Here is a 24,425-nt window from a genome sequence, read left to right as displayed (position 1 = left end):
AAAAGACCAGCATCTCAGGTATGGCACCCATATAGATCTTCATTAACTTAACTAGAGAAAATACATTGAAAAGAGAAGCAAATCAAGCAGAAATTATGCAGATCATGAAAAAGATGTCATGGAAGGAAGAAGCTATGTCAATTCTGGAAGAATAGAAAGAGAAAGATTTTTAAAAGATATTAGGTGTGCTTAAAAATGACTGACAGAGTCAGGGCAATGAAAAAATATAAGTGAAGACTAGGCAGTCAACAGGTTTTAACATACAATTTTTTTTCTTTTTCAGTTACTTTTTAAATGTATTTTTAATTGACATAATAATTGTAGATATTCATGAGGCACATAAGATATGTTTCAATACTTATAATATGTAGTGATCAAATCAGGACAACTCACACATCTATTTCATCATGTCAAATATTTATCATTTATCATTTCTTTGTGTTGGGAACATTCAATAACCTCCTTCTAGTTATTTGAAACTACATGTTATTAACTATAGTGATCCTACAGTGCTAGAAGACTAGAACTTATTCCTCCTATGCAGCTGTAATTGTGTATGCTTTAACAAATCTCTCCCTATTCCCCGCCTCTTCCCCCTACTTTTCCAGTCTCTGTTATGGTCTGTTCTACTTTTTACTTCTATGAGATAAACTTTTTTAGCTTCCACATATGAATGAGAACATGCAGCATTTAACTTTCTGTTCTTGGCTTATTTCACTTAACATAATGTCCTCCAGTTTTATCCATGTTACCAGAAATAAAAGGATTTTATTCTTTTTATGGCTGAGTAGTATTCCATGGTGTGTACATACCATATTTCTTTACCCATTCATCTGTTTCTGGACACCTAGGTTGATCTTGCCTATTGTAAATAATGCTGCAATAAATATGGGAGTGCAGATGTCCCTTTAATATAATTATTTCCTTCTCTGTGGATAAATGCCTGGTAGTGAGATTGCTGGATCATATGGTAATTATATTTGTAGTTTTTTGAGGAACTTCCATATTGTTATCCAGAATGGTTGTATTAGTTTACATTCACACCAACAGTGTCTGAGTTCCCTTTCCTCTACATCTTTGCCAGCATGTTATTTTTTGTCTTTCTGATAGTAGCCATTCTAACTCGGGTGAGATGATACTTAATTGTAATTTTGAGTTGCATTTCCCTGATGATCAGTGATGTTGAACATTTTTCATGTAATATTTGTTGGCTTTTTGTATGTCTTCTGTTGAGAAATGTCTGTTCAGATTATTTGCCCATTCTTAATTTAAATTTTATAATTTTTTGCTGTTGAGATGTTTCAGTTCATTGTATATTCTGGATATTAATCTCCTATCAGATGAGTACTTTTCAAATATTTTCTCCCATTTTTTTCACTCTCTTGTTTTGTTTTGTTCCTGTTTTTGCTGTTCAGGAGTTATTTACTGTGATATAATTCAATTTGTTTCTTTGTTGTTGTTGTTGTTGCCTGTGCTTTTGAGGTCTTATTCATAAATTTTTTTCTCAGACCAATGTGTTGAAACATTTCCCATATTTTCCTCTAGTAATTTTATTTTTTCAGATCTTACATTTAGGTAGTTGATTCATTTTGATTTAATTTTTGTATGAAATGAGAGGCAGGGTCTAGTTTCATTCTTCTGTATATGGATGTGCATTTCCCAGCACCATTTACTGAAGAGACTGTCCTTTCCCCAATGAGTGTTCATGGCACCTTTGTCAAAAGCCATGTGGCTGTAAATATATGGATTTATTTCTGTATCCTCGGTTCTGTTCCTTTGATCTATATGTCTTTTTTATGCCAGTACCATGCTGTTTGGGTTACAATAGTTTTGTAGTATATTTTGAGGCTTGATAGTGTGATGCTTCCAGCTTTATTATTTTTGCTCAGGATTGTTTTGGCTATTTGGGGTCTTTTGTAGTTCCTTACAAGTTTTAAGATTTTTCTTCGTTTCTGTGAAGAATATCATTTGTATTTTGATAGCAATTGCATCAAATCTGTAGATTGCTTTGAGTAATATTATCTTAACAATATTAATTCTTCTAATCCATGAGCATTGGTTGTCTTCATATTTCATTTTCTTTTCATTTTTTTCATCAATGTTTTGTAGTTTTCTTTGTCAAAGTCTTTTACCTCTTTGGCTAAATTTATTTCTCTCTTTCTCTCTCTCTGTGTGTGCGTGTGTGTGTGCATCTGTTGTAAATAGGATTGCTTTCTTGATTTCTTTTTCAGCCAGTTCATTGATCATGCATAGAAATGCTACTAATTTTTGTATGTTAATTTTGTATCCTGCAACTTTAATAAATTCATTAATCAGTTCTAACAGTTTTTAGATAGAGTCTTAGGATTTTAAATATAAAATCATATCATCTGCAAAAAGGGACAATTTGACTTACTCCTTTCTAATTTGGATGCCCTTTTTTTCTTACTGTTGCCTAATTACTCCAGTTAGTACTTCTAGTACTATGTTGAATAAGAGTAGTAAGAGTGGGAATTCTTGTTTTATTCCATTTCTTAGATGAAAAGTTGGATTTTCCTCATTCAGTAAGATGTAGGCTTTGGGTTGAACTAGGCTGACAGACTTTTACTTGAGCCAAGTTTCTTAGGACAGTAGTTAACTTTCATTGATCTCCCTTTTATATTTTCATTGACCTCTCAATCCACTGCATAATGACATCTGCCTCCACATTTTATTGAAAATTCTTGTTCTAAGGTCACTAATGGCTACCTCACTACAAAATTAAATCAGTGAACTTTTTAAAAATGTTTATTTATTTTTGTCCACATTTACTAATGCTTCCTATTGCATTTAACCTAGAGAATATTCTTGAAAATTTTCACTCCCTTATTTCCATGGAAATCTTATTTTTTTGGTTTTCCAGTGTCTCTGGCATCTCAAACCATTGTATCCTGGTCTCTCCATGAGCTCTACCATTCATGATCAAATCACACTGATCCAATGGCACACTAATCTTCTTCTGCATGTTTTCCTTGAGTAATCACATCCACTCTAATGACATTTATCCTCCTATGTACTGAGGAATTCAGTAATCTAGATCAGGGTCAGCAAACAGTGGCTTGTCAGTTGGATTTCACTTGCTGCTTGTTTTTGTAAATAAAGATTTATTAGGACAAGCCATGCCTATTTGTTTATGGTGGTTTTCTTGCTACAAAGGCAGAGTTGAAGCAAATAATTATTATCTGGCACTATACAGAAAAAAAGTCAACATCTTAGCTCCATCTTAAGATGAAGTTTTCAGGCTAATATAACAAGTTATTTAAAAGACATACACATTTCGATGTACTGGAAGTAGCTAAGTCCAGATTTTTAAAACTGCTTTTCTTTCTCCACTCTTATTTTCTCTTATTAGGTATCTATATTTAGCAAAAACAGAAACCTGGGAATCATTCTAGATTTTGCTCTTTCCTTCATCTCACAATACATTGATCACCAAGCCTTGATCAATATCATTCATATTTGTCTTCTCTCCATATCTATGACCACAGTCATAATTGAGGATCTTAACTGAACTTCTCATGGCTGTAGGCAAAGGCTTTCCATCAAAAATAGGCTGTGTGTTAATTATCACTTCTCCAGGTAAAGGACATGTTATTTATCTTGCCTCCCATAATGATCTAAGAGTCGAGTGAACTAAGCCCCATCAAAATTGTTCTGTGTGGATACCCACAGTGTTTCAATGATTCAGGACTTTTGTAACTCCCAATCATAGAGTGAGATACTAATTCCCACAAAGCTGTGATCATGGTATAGAAAGGAAAGCTCACTGTCTGCACTGGTGAGTGGAACTTGATTGTGGTGGAACATACTTACAGTGAAAATATAATATTATTAACACCTAAGTTAGGGATGCCAACTATCTGTTAGAGTCAGGAAAGCCTTTGCAGGGCAAATGGCATCTAAAATAAGTCTTACAAGATAAGGAATTGTCAGTTCAGTAAATGGGATGCATTCTAGGCAATCAAGAAGTCTTATGAAGGCTAGAATGAAAGGAAGACCTGTACGTATTTGGAGAATGGCAAGCATCCTATAAAATTGACACAAGGGCTGGTTGGGGTATTTGCAAAGAGGTAGGCTAGAAAGAAAATGTAAGCCTGGATTTGAAGGTTTTGTTTTGCTTTGTTTTTACCTCCATGCTTGAATGATTAGACTCATAATAATGAGGGCCGGGCGCGGTGGCTCATGCTTGTAATCCCAGCACTTTGGGAGGCCGAGGCGGGCAGATCACAAGGTCAGGAGATCGAGACCATCCTGGCTAACACGGTGAAACCCCGTCTCTACTAAAAATACAAAAATATTAGCCGGGCGTGGTGGCGGGCGCCTGTAGTCCCAGCTACTCGGGAGGCTGAGGCAGGAGAATGACGTGAACCTGGGAGGCGGAGCTTGCAGTGAGCCGAGATCGCACCACTGCACTCCAGCCTGGGCGACAGATCGAGACTCTGTCTCAAAAAATAATAATAATAATAAATAAATAAAAATAAAAATAAAAAATAAATAATGAGAAGGCTAGATTTCAAATGGAGTTATATACAGAATTAGCATTTATAAGAAGGATTTATAGTGACAGATTATGGGGCGACAGCACATCACACAGTGAAGAAAAAAATTGTCACAGGCAAAATTAAGATTATTACAATAATTTATTAAAAGAAGTTACTTGCCTAAATGAAGTCACTGTCCACGGGAGCAGGTAGAAGGAGCCAGGTTCAAGATACAATTCTGTAATGAATCTACAAGATTTAGTTGAAAGTGGGTGACAGCTGCAGAAGAGGAAGGTAAGTAAGGGACACAGCTGGCAAAAGCAAGCAATAGTGCTATTAATTAAGAAATTAACCTTCCACACAAGGCAGAAAAGATTTTGGGGGCAAAAGAATGAGCTTGTTTGGGGGTATGTTCAACTTGAAATGCCAACACAATGGAGATAGCACATGAAAATATCCGGGAGACAGTTGGAAATACTAGAGTGGATCTCACAGTAGAAATAAGAATATTGAGGAATATTGGTATCAGTATGGGGACAAACTTATCCAACCACTAGTTCATCCCTGTTCCTGAAACGGTAGCATTAAGTATTTATTTTTTGAGAGAAACCACACATATTCTTAATAGATTCACTGTCAAAATGCTAAGCTGTTGTAGGAGTAATATATTAATTAATTCACACTCATAGATTATCTTGGATTTTTTACTGGCAGAGTTTAGATATTTAATGAAGGCTTTAAAAACACAGAATCTAGGACACAGAGTATGGTACATAAAGAAAAAAATAAGTCAGAAATATGAGGAACTACCAGGCAAGATGAATATGACAGCATACCAAAACAGAAAGGCTCAGCATGGTAGTGGGTGAGGGGAAGGGAGCAGAAAAACTGGGAAGAAAGTCAGAAAAAAGTGAAGAAGGAAAGTAAAGGAAGGCCAAGTCTAGTCATTTCCCAGTTTGGACCAGAGTTATCTGAATGTATCAAGTGTTCTTTTTGTTTTTATCATCGCTCCTTTTTAAAATGCCTTAGGCAGCCTGTGATACACTTATGCTTCTACACATTCAAAAATTAAAAGCCAACCAGTCCAGTCCTCTTAATTATTCTTTCAGTTTTATAAGTAATATATTGAATAACGGATGTTTAGGGAGAAAATGTTTTATGGTAGTTTTAAATAATGCAGAAGGCTCTCCAAACATTGCCTATAATACACAATTCATTGCATTTTAGTTCCTTACAAATACTTTAAAATCCCATCTATCCTAGTTGTTTTTCCTTAATAACTTTTTCTGTGTATGCATTTTCTTCAGCCCTTAAGAGATAAGGGAAAGGTTTAGATAGTAACCATTTGATTGCACCAGTCTGATGTTTCCTGAATCACCAACTGATACTTGAATGCTCAAACTGTAAGGAAACACTTTATGTGATTGTATTCATTTACAAATTGTCCATTATTGCCCTCCATGCTTTAAAATGTTTCCTTCATTGGCATATTCAGAAATATAATATTGATAGAAATAAGCATGAATTTGGCCCCTTTTTGAGACTACTGTATGGAGAGGGGATGGGAATGGAGGGAGGAAATACCAAAAAAAAAAAGAAGAAAAGAAGAAAGAAATCTTGTGGACATGAAAAGCAGACAAATAGTATTTAGATTAGATATTCAAATTTTTCAATTTTGTCTCCTAATTGGTAAGTTATTATGTGCCAATAATTTTACATTTTTATTTATTCAATTTATTTATCAGTATGGATGTATTAAACTAAGTACTGACACTTGGTTTATTACATTAAAGTTTACCTTCAAAAATCTGTGACAAAGTATATACTTTTGTACATGTACATATATATTTGTATTGTATACACACGCATATATAAGTGTATATGCATACATTTGTGTGTGTTTGTAATGTTACGTCATCTGATGGCAATAAGAAAAAATATAGTTTATAATTTGAGATCAGAAGCATAATTTAGATAATTGTATTTTTCTTGTAAAGTATTACTTACAATGAGTGTGTATATATGTATATACATATATATTTATACACACACATATATATAAAAGGCCACAATGTATTTTATATATAAAGCTTAACAATTTATTTTTTGGTGATAATGTTGACTTCAATGCATTCCTGAAAAGTACAATGCTTTTTATGTCATTAAGTTTATATGGTATTTTTATGCTGCCTTGTTTCAGGGAAGCTAAGGATTACATTTTTTCAGATTCTAATATCTTTTATTTGGAATATGAGCTACAGTTGATGGCAGCATTTTTTTCCCTCTTAGTGATATATAATAGTGTTTCTAAACATTTCAGATTCAATAAAATTCTATATTAATTTATTTCATTTCTTTGAAAGTAGAGAAAATAATGTGGAATTGTAACAGTTAAAAGAATATCCCTCTTTTATTATGGGGAAACAGGAATGTATTTTAGGCATTATGTTTTTCATCTAAGTTTGTGTAAACCTTGCAAGAACTACACAAGGATACAAGGAACCCATTTCAAAAAGTTTTTCTGAGGCACTAGTCATTTTATTTAACATAAGATGAAAATGTAGGGACAGGTCAGGTGAGTCACATGTCATCTAAGGTCATCACCCCAGTCACCAGCAAAGCCATTCAGCCAGTTCTGAGTCAATTCAAAGTATCACACACCCACACATTGTGATTTTTGTTTTTTCTTCTTCTTTCAGCTCTCTCATGACACCATATAGGCTTTACCAAGATTTTTCTTTGCTCTTTTGAGTTTTCTCTGCTTACCCTGCCAGCAGTAACCATGATGAAAGAACTGTATGACGACAGGTGCTTTTCTAGTCTGGTTGGAAATAAGAATGTCATCTAATCCTATGCATAAGTATTGTAGGCAAGTTTTATAGGTTTTAAAGTAATTTTTCTTTCTCTGTTCTTACTGTTTTCTTAATCTATTACAATTTACTTTTTGATAGATCCTTTTGATCTCCTTTAGAGATTTGGGAATATACACTCCATAAAAGAACTGCTAAGGAAGGCAACTCAAGAGAATATTTTAGGAAGCAAGAAATTTATCTTCTGTGTTATCATCCACTGAAAAATGTACAATGGGAAAACAACAAATGAGGCATTATCCTGTGTCTTCCATATACATGAAGGGAGGGACAGCAAAATTATGATTGCTCAGATGGTTCTAAGGGAAGATTAGTGAGTGGATTCCATTCAAAAGAGCTTGATCTAAATAATCCCAAACTGATAAAATAGCACATCAGGATTTTAGTTCTCACTTTACAAAGTTTTATTTCACAAATAAATTTATAAATGATATCTTTATCCGGAAACAAACATTGACATTTTTGCTTGTAACTCACATTATTGGAAGACCATGGAAAAATAAATGCACAGTTAATATACTGAAGAGTGCTATTAAGTGGAAAGCAATAAATATAAAAAGATTGCATACCAAAAATTATGTATTAAATAAAGAAAATTTGATTTTCAAAGTTAGAATGTATTTTTAAGGATATATATGCCATGTTATATAAATATTTTATAATACAATCACACACTCAACCTTAGAAACTTTGATTCTCTTATCAGTGCAACTTCTCTTTAAGTGAAAATTTATTTCTGGTTTCACTTTTACCAGCTGAAAATGTAATATTAGTATATCCAGACATGCATCCACACTTATTCCATGCCAAAAGCAAATTATGAGAAATTAAAAACAGCAGGGCAGCATTCTGTTATGTGACATAAAGAATGACATTTCTCCTGGGTATGTTTTTAAAATAAAATTTGATGGATGCTAAAGAAATATTTAGAAGATTCTACTCGAGTATAATTAGAAAGGACTTAGGTGGTGAGTGAACCAGGGCCAGTGAATGGAAGGGCAGAATCCTGGTAAACATTGGTTCAGTCCCACAGTTTCTAACACAGGGCTCATGGATCAACTTATGTTGAAATGTTTCACATATGGCAGACACATACACGTCTGTAATGTTTGTCGTTACAGGATGACTTTGATTTTGTAATACAGTTTATACATAGCCAGGCTCTTGAGAACACTCAAAATCTGTGCTAATCAAAGCTTAGGTGGTTGCTTGAGCTGGAGCTAAACATAATCCTTAAAAAGGGGCTCCCTACACTGTGCTCCGCTTTTCCTCTTAGCCTCTTCCCCTCAACGAAATGGTAGGAGTTCAGCTGACAACAGGGTAAACAGATTATTGTGTTATTGCTGGCTGATTGCCGGAGTTATTTTGGAGCTTCATAATTCATTTAAAGAGATTTTTGACATTTATGAAATGACTTCTATAATCAACTGACAGTGCAATATCCTATAATTGTTCAATTAAAAATGACTACTAGTGCAGTCATTTATTAGTAGAATCAGATAATTGTCTTGCCACTAAAGAGTACTTCTCACTTTGCACATCAAATGAAAATGTTTGAGTCTAAATCTGTGACACAGCAGCCAAAGTCCTGGGGATTTTCAAGTGCATATGTAATTATTACAGACCTCTGAAGTAAATATGGTTTAATGTGATAATCTTAAATGGATTGTGTGTGAGCCTTACAAAATACTTTTCTGTATAAACCAGAGCATCTGTCAGAATGGATAGGAGTTCATTTCTAACCATTATGAAGTTCATGATATTCTTTCCAACATGTAGTTTAACATGTGTAGTTAGAACACAGGACAGCATGCCTTTCCCTTGATTCTCATTTATCTTTTTTTCCCCCTTGCAGATGAAACTGATTACCAAGGTAAGGAGCCAGGAATGATTGCATTGATAAATCAGTTTCATATGGAATACTACCCTACTGGGGTCAGCACTCAGAAGCTCTGACTTCCAGATACGTACACAGATAGAATGCAGATCCACAAAAACAGAAACACTTTCATACACATGCGTGTGCATGCACACACACACGCGCACATAAAGCACAAATTTCAAATGCTGGATTTCTCTGAAATAAAACACTTTGACTCACATTATCACAAACCATCTGTTAAGCTAAATCATAAATCAGTCTTTGATTAAATAATTAAAAAAAGAAACCCTTACCACACTGAACACAGAGAAGGCACAGATCATTTAAATACCAATATAAAGAAATAACTAAATGGAGGAAACAGCAGCAGTCCCCTTACAGATAATGATTTATTTTTATTTTAAATTAGCATTGTGCTTCTTTGGACAAACTGGCTAAAACTCAAAATTTACATTCAAATAATGATAATTAAGGAAATTCAGAGCAGGCTCAACAGATGGAACATGTTACTTAATTTGAGGTTGCTACAAAATAGAATTTAGTGGTGTCATTTCAAAGTTGCAGCTTAATTTTAATTTTTAAATAAATAATCTGATTTAGTTGTTTTTTCTTTTTCCATTTTGTTTGCAGGAAAATGTTGAAAAATTGCTGTCAGATTCAATCGCTATCTCCCTCTTTCTTTCTAACCCATCAGCAAGAATAGGGCATTTGAATCACAGCTGCTCAGGGCTTTTTGTTTTTGTTTCTCTTCAAAAAAATTTTTTTCAAGCCCGTTTTTCTTCTTCTTGTATGGATTTTAGAAAGAGTTTTGATAAAGACAGTCCTGGCAGCTGGATGATAAATATTATTTTCTTAACCTGCCTAGCTTTGTCAGCCACCTGCGACTGCAGCCTGCCACACGTTGGAAGCAGCTCATTAACTTTCCCACAGCTTCCCAGGAGTTTTCCTTGTTTGCTTTCACCTTGGGTGTGTGCTGCCTTCTCACTGAACGGTTAACTATCCGAGTAGGCCGAGTGGGCTTTGGCACCGCGAGCAGAGCACGCTTCAGGCAGCCTCCCTGCTAAGGCTCAAAATCTCTCTTAAACACATTAAGCAGCCCATTTTGGATTGATAGTGCAGTAATTATTCTGCTTCACCCTAAAAACCATCCTGGGGTAATTGGCGCAGAGGAAAATTACCCAGAGTCCTCCACCACCTGGTAGTTAAGGAACGAATCCAGGGAAAGATAAGTGAAGCAGGAAAAAAAATCGGCACTTATTTGATTTTAATCTCACCACTTTGCAAGCATTTAAATTGCCTTAATCAGGTGGTTGGCTTCCAGCCTAGCTGGTAATCTGTTATCAAATTTGAAACTAGATTTTTTAAAATGTCAGTGTAGGCTGAGAATTGAAGTCTATTAACAGTTATGAGCCTCCCTCCTAAACTTCCATAATCTATGTATTAATAATACTTTTTACAAAGCTGTCAAATATTACTTTATTACAACTCTACATTAATAATATAGATGTAAAGGCAAGATTTAATTATTTATTTTTTATTTTTATTTTAAAATTGAGGGAACACACAATGCTAACATTCCTAGCACTAAAATCCATTTTCTTAAAGCAATAGCTTGAATCTATGGAATAACCTTGATAAATGTAATTGAATTTTTCTATGATAAGATTAACTAGTTGTAATTGTGAATGGGGAGGTCTGACCCACTCCAAATGAGATGTATGACAAGCTGAAAATAATCAATTTTTTTCTTTATTTGAGCCCAGATTTTTTAAAATGGAAAGAGAAAATCGGGGCCTTGTAGGATGAAATATTTGTGTCTGAAATGTTTTTATATACACCACTTATCTCCCATCTCCTCAGTGTGTCTAATTGTGCTGAGCTTGGTTTAAAATGAGATCAACACATTGAAACCCCAGAAGGCTTAATTAAGGGAGGGACTTAATATGTACCAAAAAGGGTTTTTTTTTTTTGACAAATGTGGCATAAATTTTACCTGTAACATCCTTATCTAAAAGCATCCCAAAATTGTTAAGCCCATTAAATTGCCTCTTTTTAAAAAAAAAAAAAAAAAAAAAAAAAAGGAGAGACAGAGAAGAGAAAAAGGAAGAAAATAATTTTACTTTGAAAATCTTAATTACTGTGATAGCAGGGTTGGGTTGTGCCTTTTTACGATTCCTGTATGATTTGCATTTTGAGTTGAAGTTTTGTTCTTCACAGCACACAAGCCAGCAATCAGGAGCATATAGAAATGGCTTGATAGATTCCCCTTTTAAACATGCTTATAAAACATTTTGCCTATGTAGCTTTTTGTATTACACATTCCATGGGGTTTCTCACATACCAATCAAGAAAGCATATCCCTTTTAATTCATTTTCTCAGAAGTTTAAAAGCTTAGAAATATATATTAATGCAGAACAAATAAAATATTTCAAAAAACTACAGCAGTATTGTAAGGAGTTTCATTTGAAAAGCAAAAAATGCTGTCATTATTTTTATTCTTCTTTCGTGGTCTTTATCTGACCATAGAATTTGAGTGAGTAGATCAGACTACAATAGAGACTGCTCCAACAACTTGGATTCCTAATTCCCTTCCTGGTTCCTGACTAGGTTCAGAAAAAGACTCTTTCAGAAACATCAAATCTAGTGACAATGAAATTAATCACAATGTACAAAAGAAAAGCAGCTGGCAACCAAACACTGAATAAAGCCAAGCGTGAATTTAACTAGCTGTCAACCTCAATGTATATAATATGTACACATTATGTACTTCTTTATATTCTTTAGCTAGGCACAATCAGTATTGATGTATTTTTATTGTGTGTGTGTGTGTGTGTATATATATATATGGATTTCCTATATTACCTCTGAAAGTTTTAAAATTACTATTAGTTATTACTACTTTAGGGCTTAGTAACTGCTACTAAACACAAGTAGAATATCTTGCCTCTAGTTGAAGACGAGTCTCTTTAAAACTGGTCATCACAGATATGCAGATAAATTCTATATCTGCTGGTTGGAACATTTCACTTTTGAAGTAAGATAAGTTTTAACATATGCCTTTGCCAAAAACTAACTCCAAGAAATAATTTAGGAAGAGCTATAACGGATGTTTTCTTCCTTCCACATAGGAGCATGCTCGGCACCAAAAATAGAAAGAGAATATTTGAGCTTTAAGCTAATGTCATAGGAACTAATGTACATTGTATATGAGTAATAATTTCTTAAGGTCAACATCAGTCAATTCTTGTATGAAATTATGTTCAAATTCATAGTTCTTCTGGTTCGTTGTGGCATAGGGTGGTCTCTAGCTGAAACCGTTCATTACTATCTGCATTAGTAAGGTCACTTGCTTGATCTGGTTCTCTCACTTACCAACTTTGATGCCTTGGGAATGACTTGCAATCCAAGCAGATTTCTCACTGACCACTATCTAAGTCAGTGTGTATCATATGATATTTAAATTAGTAGAATACTTAGGACCAAAAGTATTTCTTGGCATACAGATTTAGAGAAGTAAAAGCCACAGTCAATTATTTGTTCTTTTTTTTAAACCTGAATTTCAGAACTATTTTGAAAGGCATAAAAATAGATTCTCTGTGAAATTAGAATACAAAATGTTTGTTAAAAGTTTACACAGTCCAGGCCGGGATTGGAATTGCACTCAGTGTGTACTTTAAGGGAGTTACAGAACGCACCTATGCAAACCATTTTTTAATTTCCAACCTTGTTATCCTATTAAATCAAATTTTAAAAACTTGACTTCTGTGAGCATAGAGAACTTGAAAATGATACTTCGTTATACATACAGAGGTCAGGAAAAATGGAAGTCCAAGTAGGAAAAACACTAGATTCCATTTCATTTCAAGCACTCTTTGCTAAGCCCTCTCCTCAGTCCTGGAGGTGAAAATAATAATAAAATATTGCCCTTGCATTTAAAAGATCAACATTCTACTTGGGGGAATAGATATGAGGACAGACAAGTTGGGATATAATGCAGTAAGTGCCATGAAATAGTATGAGCTCAGTCCTTTGAGACAACAAATGAGGGAACTCTACTTTGCCTGGAAAAATTGAGGCTAGTTTGATGAAATAGATAAGTTATTTCTCGAATCAGAGAAAGTAGACAATTAATGATATTCTATGAGTTAAATGTGTTGCTTATTTCAAAAGAAAAATACAGAAATAAGGCTAAATGTATATGCCTCTACTTACAGAATTGTGTATAGGCAATTCCTTTGTAACTAATTATAATAGCAGAAACAATAGCTAGCATTTATTACACACTTATTATGCACCAGGCAATGTTCTAAATGCTTGCATGCATTATCTCTATTGCTCCCCATAACAATCATAGATGCATTATTATTATTTGCATTTTATAGCTGAGGAACCCAAGGCACTGGCAGGGTAAATGACTTGTTCAAGATCAGGCCACAGAACTAGGAAGGAGCAGAGAGAAGATATGAACTGAAACAGTCTGTCTCTAGAGCCTGATATCATAAGGTTTTTATTTTCAATAAAGTACTTCATGATGGACAAATATAAAACATTCTATTTTGAATAATATTTTTTGTAAAATTTTTCTTTGATATTTCAAATGTTTAAAAGAGTGGCTTTCTGCCCAGAACCACTTCACTGTGTCCATTACGAAGTTAGCTGGTTCTAAGCTCCATAGCAATATATTCTTGACAGCAAACAAGAACCTGGCTTACTTTATTCCTCAGCTTTTGACAACCTTTATTATTTCATTTATCTGCTATTCATAGCGAGATGTAAACATCTTACTTCCCAGTGTGATCCTCATATCAACAGTGGGTGAGTTTAAAATATTGGGAATCAATATGTTATAAAACATCAGCCAGTACTAAAAAGGCAGACCCAGAGAAAATTCATTGAATGTCAAATAAAAAATAAACATCAACAGTTAAAAATGTAATAAGATAATAAATAAAGGCAGGGAATTAAAAAAATTTCTTAACCCCAAAAGCAATTTGACAAGTAAGATATACCTGTGTTAAACACAAAGCCACTTACAGTACAGGGAGCAATGAATTTTTCATGCAGGTAAACAGAACAATTCTTTTCTAAATTTAATAGACAGAATACATGACATTAGTGCCATTGATAGTAGGGTTGGGGACTCAGAAAGAGAGAGAACACTACAGTCTCTGTGAAAACATTAGTTAGCACAGGCTCTACATATTTTATTGATTTATGTAGACACTTAAGACTAAACGTTTTTAGACTGAGGATCTCCTTTTCATCCCAGATACGTATGCATATATTTCTCATGTGCAGGTACTCAGCTCTGCTATATACTTCTAACTCTCAGGCCCTCTTATCCCTCTCCTCCAAACTTGCACAATCTGATCCTACGGTCAGTCAGTCAGTCTGCATTTGCCTGTGAGACATCTTTTTATTGACCTGTCATTGAATCCACACTTCTATAGAAAGCCCTATAAGAACTGAGAGAGAAGTAGGGCATTGCATTCCTTTTGGGATGTTTAAAATTTAATGTGCAACAGCTAACAATCAAAAAGAAACAAATAATAGTCTTGAAACTTGTTGCCTAGATAAAATAGATAGGAAGACAATCGTCTAGGAGGAGATGTGATTGGGGTCTTGCAGTCCTTTCAATTCACCCAGTGAAAACATGCACTACCTACCATACTTTCACAAACACTGGAACTTAACAAATATTTTCTTCCTCCATTGCTGTTGCTTTTAGGAGTGGCACATATCTCCAAAGAGCCACAGCCTTCCAGGTGGGCACCTCCTTTCCCCAGCTTCTCTTCCTTCTGACCGTAAGTACCTATAGCACTCATGAGGCTCTTAGCATGAATTAAAAGTATAAGCTAAAAAAAAAAAAAAAACTCTCTAATTGTGAAAGGGCAAAGATCAGTTAGTACATAGAAAATATTTTTGTTTTTGTTGGTATTTTTGACAGATTGTTTTCCCAGAGCCCTAGCAACCATATATATACATTCATTTATTGGTGTGTCTATTGAATGAATATTTTTGAGTCTCTTGCATATCCTAGGCATTATGCAAATTTCTAGGGAAAATGCGCAACTCCTACTCTCAAGGTCCTTCCATTCTAATGGGGGAAATATGTATGTGCAAGTGTGTGTGTAATGTGTGTATTACATATTTATCATATGGTGAATAATACAGTTCTCCAGAGGGTAGAATTATTTTCTGGGAAATACAGAGAAGAGGCCCCAACAAACCTGGAATATTATACGAAAGGATGAAAAATTGTCTTGGAAATGATATTAGAACTCTGACCTATACAAAGAGTAGGAAGTAGTTTTTTAAAGAGTGGAAAAACCATAAGCAACAATGGTAGAGTACCCTCTGTGAGGAACACAGGCAGCTGAGATTGTGGCAACATAGAGAGTAAGGAAGAGAGTTGCAAAATACAAAGGTACAATCGGAGGCCTGGGTCAAACCACAGGGAGCCTTAAAAGCTCTGATGTGTTAAACAGAACCAACGACAAAAACCGCATGATTATCTCCATAGATGCAGAAAAGGCCTTCAACAAAATTCAACAGCCCTTCATGCTAAAAACTCTCAATAAACTGGGTATTGATGGAATGTATCTCAAAATAATAAAAGCTATATATGACAAAACCACAGCCAGTATCATACTAAATGGGCAAAAACTGGAAGCATTCCCTTTGAAAACTGGCACAAGACAAGGATGCCCTCTCTCACCACTCCTACTCAACAAAGTGTTGGAAGTTCTGGCCATGACAATCAGGCAAGAGAAAGAAATAAATAGTATTCAATTAGGAAATGAGGAAGTCAAATTGTCCCTGTTTGCAGGTGACATGATTGTGTATTTAGAAAACCCCATCGTCTCAGCCCAAAATCTCCTTAAGCTGATAAGCAACTTCAGCAAAGTCTCAGGATACAAAATGAATGTGCAAAAATCACAAGCGTTCCTATACACCAATAACAGACAAACAGAGAGCCAAATCATGAGTGAACTCCCATTCACAATTGCTACAAAGAGCATAAAATACCTAGGAATCCAATTTACAAGGGATGTGAAGGACCTCTTCAAGGAGAACTACAAACCACTGCTCAACGAAATAAAAGAGGACCCAAACAAATGGAAGAACATTCCATGCTCATGGATAGGAAGAATCAATATTGTGAAAATGGCCATACTGCCCAAAGTAATTTATAGATTCAATGCCATCCCCATCAAGCTACCAGTGACTTTCTTCACAGAATTGGAAAAAACCACTTTAAAGTTCATATGGAACCAAAAAAGAGCCTGCATTGCCAAGAAAATCCTAAGCAAAAAGAAAAAGCTGGAGGCATCGCACTACCTGACTTCAAAGTATACTACAATGCTACAGTAACCAAAACAGCATGGTACTGGTACCGAAACAGATATATAGACCAATGGAACAGAACAGAGGCCTCAGAAATAACACCACACATCTACAACCATCTGATCTTTGACAAACCTGACAAAAACAAGAGATGGGGAAAGGATTCCCTATTTAATAAATGGTGCTGGGAAAACAGGCTAGCCATATATAGAAAGCTGAAACTGGATCCCTTCGTTACACCTTATACAAAAATTAATTCAAGATGGATTAAAGACTTAAATGTTAGACCTAAAATCATAAAATCCCTAGAAGAAAACCTAGGCAATACCATTCAGGACATAGGCTTAGGCAAGGACTTCATGACTAAAACATCAAAAGCAATGGCAACAAAAGCCAAAATAGACAAATGGGATCTAACTAAACTAAAGAACTTCTGCATGGCCAAAGAAACTACCATCAGAGTGAAGAGGCAACCTACAGAATGGGAGAAAATTTTTGCAATCTACCCATCTGACGAACGGCTAATATCCAGAATCTACAAAGAACTCAAACAAATTTACAAGAAAAAAACAAACTCATCAAAAATTGGGCAAAGGATATGAACAGACACTTCTCAAAAGAAGACATCTATGCAGCCAACAGACACATGAAAAAATGTTCATCATCACTGGTCATCAGAGAAATGCAAATCAAAACCACAATGAGACACCATCTCACACCAGTTAGAATGGCGATCATTAAGAAGTCAGGAAACAACAGATGCTAGAGAGGATGTGGAGAAACAGGAATGCTTTTACACTGTTGGTGGTACTGTAAATTAGTTCAAGCATTGTGGAAGACGGTGTGGCAGTTCCTCAAGGATCTAGAACTAGAATTACCATTTGATCCAGCAATCCCATTAGTGGGTATATACCCAAAGGATTATAAATCATGCTACTATAAAGACACATGCACACTTATGTTTATTGTGGCACTATTCACAATAGCAAAGACTTGGAACCAACCCGAATGTCCATCAGTCATAGATTGGATTAAGAAAATGTGGCACATATATACCATGGAATACTTCAGCCATAGAAAGGATGAGTTCATGTCCTTTGCAGGGACATGGATGAAGCTGGAAACCATCATTCTCAGCAAACTATCACAAGGACACAAACCCAAACACAGCATGCTCTCACTCATAGGTGGGAATTGAACAATGAGATCACTTGGACACAGGGTGGGAGCATCACACACTGGGGCCTGTTGGGGAGTGGGGGCCTGGGGAGGGATAGCATTAGGAGAAATACCTAATGTAAATGATGAGTTGATGGGTGCAGCAAACCAACATGACACATGTATACCTATGTATCAAACCTGCATGTTGTGCACATGTACCCTAGAACTTAAAGTATAATTTTTTTAAAAAAGGTCATCCTTCAGCATCAAAAGTAAAGCCATTGTTTAGGCCCTAATTCTACTACCGCCTCCCCTGTTCTGATGTAATTCTCTGATATCACTTACCACCACCTATTTTTTTCTAGTTCATTTCTTCCTTTGTTTATGTATTCATTTATTGTTTCCCTATTAAAATGTAAGCCTGGGGGAATAAAAATAAAAAGCTCTGATGTGTAAGCCATGGATAAGGTATGCTCTGGGTGGTGGGGAAGGCTGGGGATGCGATAGACCATCCAGGAAAAGGAAGAAAGTGAGAAAGACTAGACCTAAGAATCATAGGAGGCTCTTACACTAGCTGGAGATAATAAAGGCCTGACCTAGACTTGTGGTCGTGGGGATGGGAAGAAGGAGACAATGCCAATACATAGGCAGTAGAAATTCCTGCATGCGGTGAAAGAAAAGGCAGAGGGAGAAATCAAGACTTGCTCTCTAATATCACTGGAAAGACCATCAGTTGAGATAGTATCCATATATAGGATACAGTAGGTTTATTATACAAGATGTTATGTTCAGATATAATGAATATGAAATTAATATATACTAAGACAGTAAGGCCCACTGAAATTCTAAACATTAAGGGAGTAGATTATATATGATTTGGGAGTTAATTAGGGTATCTCTGAGATTACACAAAGTAACCCAAAGATAATACGTAAAAATAAAAAAGAAACATGATTTAATTTTGGGAGCATCAACATTTGATGGACATACTAAAAGTGAGGTGCCTAAAGAGGAGCCTGAAAAATTTGATTATGTGGCATAGAATACAAGGACTGCAATAATTTCAAATTGCAGGGAGATGGTCTGTAGAGTCAAGCATTTGCAACAAATAAAGAGAAAAGATAGAATAAGGGCTACAAACTACTATATTACATCTGATAATTGGGAACCTCTATTGATTGTATGAAGACTAGCTGTGGTTATGAGCAGGAAAAAAAGTGCAGCAGGCTGTGGATGAAATGAGTACCGATATCTCTCAAAATTTGTAGGTGAGCATTGAGGCAATTAATTGACTTAAGGGAAGAGGTTGTTACCGTTGATGAGAAAGGCTTCCCATGATTATTGTTTGAAGAGCAGGGGCAGGCAGAGACTGGCCTTTAAAGATAAAAGGGAGAGGAGATGACAGTTGGAAAATATCTGAAAGAGAACAGGAGGTGGAAGAGTTAAGGACAAAATCGAGATGCTACTTTGAACAAGAGAAAGAACATATTAGCCTCTCAGACTACAGGGAAGGATGAGATAATGTGTCTGCTACAGATAATTTTATAATTAGTGAGGTGAGAAATTTACCAGCATTAGACCTGAAGACCTCAGGTGTGGATCTTCAACAGCAAGAGGAAAGAAAGTTGAGTAGGGAGATTAAGAAAATAGGAGAAATTTTGGAATAGTCTGAAGAAAATGAGAGAGGGAGCTGATTAAGAAAAACACTCATGAGCAGAGATGGGGTCAAATAGATGTCTTAAACCATAGATTTGTGTAATAGTACTAAGTGGTAATACAGTGTTTTCCACCATCCCTCAAATATTCATGTGTGAGGTTGAAGAAAGCCCATTAGAGTATTTATTTTGTGCTGGAATTCTGGGTAGATGTGCAGGGAGGTATTTATCCATTCAACCATTCATGAGGATGACCCTCCACCACCATGTGTAGATGGTTAGCCTGTTTCTTAGAAGCCGCAGTTTCACCTCTTCTTCAGCCATCTCCATGGCCTCCATTGTGTTGCCTTGGTCTCTATCTTGAAACTCTTGCCCAGGCCAGGCATGGCACTCTGCCTCCTGGTTATTCTTTAATGTTTTATAAATTGAGATTTCTTAACCTGACATATAAATCTCTACATGGTGGAGTCCCCACCTACTCCTGACCTCCTCTCCCATCACCTGCTCCCTAATCTACAATGCTCCTACCCAACTCACCGAGTACATTCCTAGGGCCTTTGCACTAATCTTTCCCTCATCCCATAATGCCCTATCACCTGATCTTCTCATGGCTGGCTCTTTCTCATGCTTCAACACCCAGCTTAAAAGTTACCTCCCGAAAGAAAATATTATGTATCTTCCTATCTGTTGTACCTGACCTCTCTATCCCTTCAGAACTCTATTATTTCATACTTTTTCTTACTAAATGTATTCTTTCATAAGTTTTAGAAATAAAACAAATATTGTCATTAATGCATTTCACTACTCATTTTTTTTCACTACTCATTATTTTATCTTGTTTTTACTAGACTGCAGAATCTTTGAGTGCATGAGCACGTCTGTCTTGTATAGTAATATTGTCACCCCAACCCTTCCCTAGCAAAATGCTGAACTAAATGCCTGTCTGGTACATAGTAAAAAATGCTGACTCATTAAATGAATCAAGATGAAAGAGTAGATGAATGAACCTCCTAACTGCCATATATATAGCAAATTTTGCTGTTTCTATTTTGGGCATTGATCACTATTGTTCAACTTTGCCTTTGTGAAACCCTTTTACCTTGAATCTCTACAACATCATGTATCCCAGTGTTCTTACTTTCTTGGGAGACTTGCTCTCATTAGTAACTTCCTTTTCCCCTAAACACTCCTTAAATATTAGCATTCCTTAAAGATTTACCCTTGGCCCTTGGCTCTTCCTAGTCACCATATTTTTCCAAGATAATCTGAATCATGGTCACCACTTTAACCGTCCTATATGCTAACAATCCCCCAATTTTTCAGCTCAAACTTTTATTTGTCATGCAGTTTAAAGCTGTTTATCCAAAAGCCCAGAAAGAATTTCTAAATTAATATTTCCAAGTTGCCAAAAACTTAAGATTTCTAAAATTACACATTCCATTTTTCTCACATCCTCACCCTGTTTCTGCTTTTATACCTCTCCATTTATAGCACCACCATCCAGCTAGTTTTACCTAGGCCACCTACTCAGTCATTTATTCTTTCAGTAAATATTTATTGAGTGTTTCCTACAGGCCAGACACCATTCTGAACACTTAGAATAGGTACATCAATGTATGAAACAGGTAAAAATAAGCAAACAAAACACCTACTTATATTTGTCCTAGAATCCTTAGTCAATTTAGAATCTTCTTTTCCACTTCCTATTTCTATTTGGTAACCCAGTTTTGTAAATACTTTAATTTACAAACTCTTCATCTCATTTTTTCCATTCCTTCTCTACCACCTTAGCCCAAGTTCCTGTGACCTCTTACATTACAGTAACTTTTTAACTGGTCAGCCTGTCTTCAGTCTACCCCTAGGATACACTTCCTAATTGCAACAAAACAAATCTTTCCAAAATACTAATCCTGTCCTGATTTTTCCCTAGATTAAAATCTTTTAGAGAATGTCTGTCCTGTCCCTACAAGATGAGTGTCTTGTCCATATGTCTATGAAAATCAAGTCCAGAGGACTAAAGGCAGACTAAGACAAAATCAAAATTATGTAAAGGAAGGAGAGGAGAGAGCCCTAGGTGAATGCCCCAAATATTCTAAAGTTTTCATTACAGCACATCATCATAATATGAAATGTGCTGGCACCAGCTGGAAGAGACCAAGCAAATCCAATCAATTTATGCATGTATTTTTTCATCATAGAAAATACAGCTTTCATTTTCTCTTTATCATTCCTTGTGCTTGTTATACAATCTTATTTTATACAATTTGTTAAATTATAAAGTTTAATTTTAACTTCCAATTCTGGATAATTGATTGAATACTCTGAACAAAACAGTCTCCTAATGTAGATTTCTATGAGCCATACTAGCTATTTGTACTAAATATATAAGTGCTATAATAAAGCAAGATTCATTTTTATATATAATTCTCATTTCAACTTCAGTTTTCTTTTTAAAAAAACTTTTTAGCAAATAACAATTTATCTATCGAGCCAATGTAGAAATTCATCTTGATGGTTACTTAATGAATAGGGCAAACCAAATCACTCCACTTTTCTTTGAGTAATTTTTGGAATGAGGTGTTATTTATAAAATCATAACTTCCTTTGAACCAGAAATAATCTTACACTTCAGTAAGCTTGATATTTTTTAATTGGAGCTAAAAACTGATATTAAAGGCATGGATTGTCTAATTTGAGGGAAGCCATATTAGTCATTGTTTTTCTTGGTTGACAGAATCAATCAATTCACCTATCAATCAAATATTTATTAGGTGCCAACCTTGGACCTGGCATTGATCCAGTACTGGTCATTGATGAAACAATAAGTCCAAAAAGGGGAATATAAGATTATAAATTCTGAACTAGAAAATATGTTGATTAAGATATTTTTATTTCCAACAATATGAACTGTGTGTGTGTGTATACACACATATATATATGTAAAAGATCTTTGTAAAAAGCATTATTTTTAGTTTGAGGGATGAAAGGTATTATTTAAACTCTGATATAATATAAACATACATGGTATTCAGATCTCTTCTTCAGCGAAATGCTTTTTCCTAAAGGATTTGTGATATTGGGTAGTTTTTTTTTTTTTTTTTTTTTTTTGAGACGGAGTCTCGCTCTGTCGCCCAGGCTGGAGTGCAGTGGCGGGATCTCGGCTCACTGCAAGCTCCGCCTCCCGGGTTCACGCCATTCTCCTGCCTCAGCCTCCCAAGTAGCTGGGACTACAGGCGCCCGCCACTACGCCCGGCTAATTTTTTTGTATTTTTAGTAGAGACGGGGTTTCACCGTGTTAGCCAGGATGGTCTCAATCTCCTGACCTCGTGATCCGCCCGCCTCGGCCTCCCAAAGTGCTGGGATTACAGGCGTGAGCCACCGCGCCCGGCCTTGGGTAGTTTTTTATAATTACTCTCTTTTAAAGCAATGAACCAGTGTCTCTGCTCTACAGAGGCACTGCACTGGGTCACTGTGCCATCTTAGGTGGTCTCTCAAGGGGCTTGTTGGGAATAAAATAATTCTGAGCTCAGGGCCCTTCCCGGTAGACTCGAAGACCCCATTGTTCCATGTCAGTCTGTATTTACAGGCAATATCCACTTGATCTCTGAACTTGAGAGTTCAAGTAATCCCTGTAGAGCTTAGTCCCAAGAGAACAAATAGAAAGTCAAAGGAGCGATGCTTCTCTAAGTCAACAAAGAACAATTATTGAAGTCTAGGCAAGATCTTTATATATAAAATAACCTCTTCATCTAGATTCTCAGGTTGTACTTATTATGGATTCAAAATATGAATTAGATGAGGAAATATAGAGTAAAAGAAGCCACTTTAATGTTTTTTTCGGGCTCTTTGTCACTATATGAGTTAGTTAATAGATACAAGTCATTGTATCCCAAAAGACTTGCATTAGGGAAAATCTTCCATACATCTAATTATTTCAACAGTAATCAATCAGCCTTTAAACATGACAATATAGGGCAATTGAATAAGTGCAAAATACATTTAGCTAATAATGTGTTAATTTAGGGGATAATTTGAAATAGCAGCTATCACTTATTTTTGTCATCCCAGAAAATTATTTGAGCGCTTTATACGGAGATCAGATGTTCTGAAGAATTTTTCTCAGGTCATTGTGGCCCTGAGTTTTTTTTAACACTTGCAGAACCAGCCTCATCAACAAGTACTTCCAGAGAAAACAGCACCTGGATGGTATCTGCTCCTCAGAGTTCTGGGTCCCAGCCCAACAAAACTCATTCTTTATGATGAAAAACATTGAAACCAGCTGAGCATTGCCTTCTGCTCAGAGGTCTGGGTTTCAGAACCACAGAGCCCTTTCCGTAAGTTTTTAGGTTGTAATAATTCCAACATCTTCCCTTTGTTTCCTCAGTTCTAAGGGTGGTGCCTGTTTCCTCCATGTGTTATTTGCCTGATACCTTAGAACACTCTTTTTACCCTGTTAGTTACTTAGGAAACAGCTTATCCAGGTAACACCTCTTTATGTTAACTTCTCTAAGTTCAAATAACTAGTCTATGGTTTTGCCTTCTGATTGTACCCTGACGTAAAAAATAAATCATGTACTTCCACTTACTGACTAGCCAAAATTCTTAACCTTCCTAAGCATCAGTTTCCTAGCCTGCAAAATAGGGCTAATATTAGTACCTACCTCATATAGTTGTTGTGAAGATTACATTAAATAGTACATGTAAGTGTAAATAAAATACCTGCCAAAACTTAAATATCCAATATTATACAGCTTCAAGGGGATTATAATCTGGCCAATAAAGTAAAACAAATATGTTCTAATTCATAAGCTATAAAAGCTATAGAGTGGGTCCATGAATGTTTATTTATGTCTTTAAATTGTATGTATCCATTCTTTTGTATTAGCATTTATTTTACAATATAAAAAGGATACTAAAACAAAGTGAGCCTGAGAAAATTATATGAAAAAGTGTATACCATGCAAACACAGCAACTAAAAACCCTTAGAACAAAGAGTGCAAGAATCTATA

The 24,425-nt window shown here is 35.5% G+C and overlaps 1 long non-coding RNA gene across 1 annotated transcript in view; it reads left to right on the top strand.

Moving 5' to 3' along the window:
• LOC105369677 (uncharacterized) overlaps window positions 1-24,425 on the top strand; it is a 200,713-nt gene that overhangs the window by 97,211 nt on the left and 79,077 nt on the right. Inside the window, exon 4 of the long non-coding RNA XR_931397.3 lies at window positions 14,981-15,056. This is a non-coding gene — a long non-coding RNA (uncharacterized LOC105369677). The remainder of the gene's footprint in view (window positions 1-14,980; window positions 15,057-24,425) is intronic.

The sequence above is a fragment of the Homo sapiens genome, chromosome 12 (assembly GCF_000001405.40).
Source record: "Homo sapiens chromosome 12, GRCh38.p14 Primary Assembly".
In the NCBI taxonomy this organism is placed as follows: Eukaryota; Metazoa; Chordata; class Mammalia; order Primates; family Hominidae; genus Homo; species Homo sapiens.
Note: the sequence above shows the minus strand (reverse complement) of the source record. Positions and strands in the feature narration are given on the sequence as shown.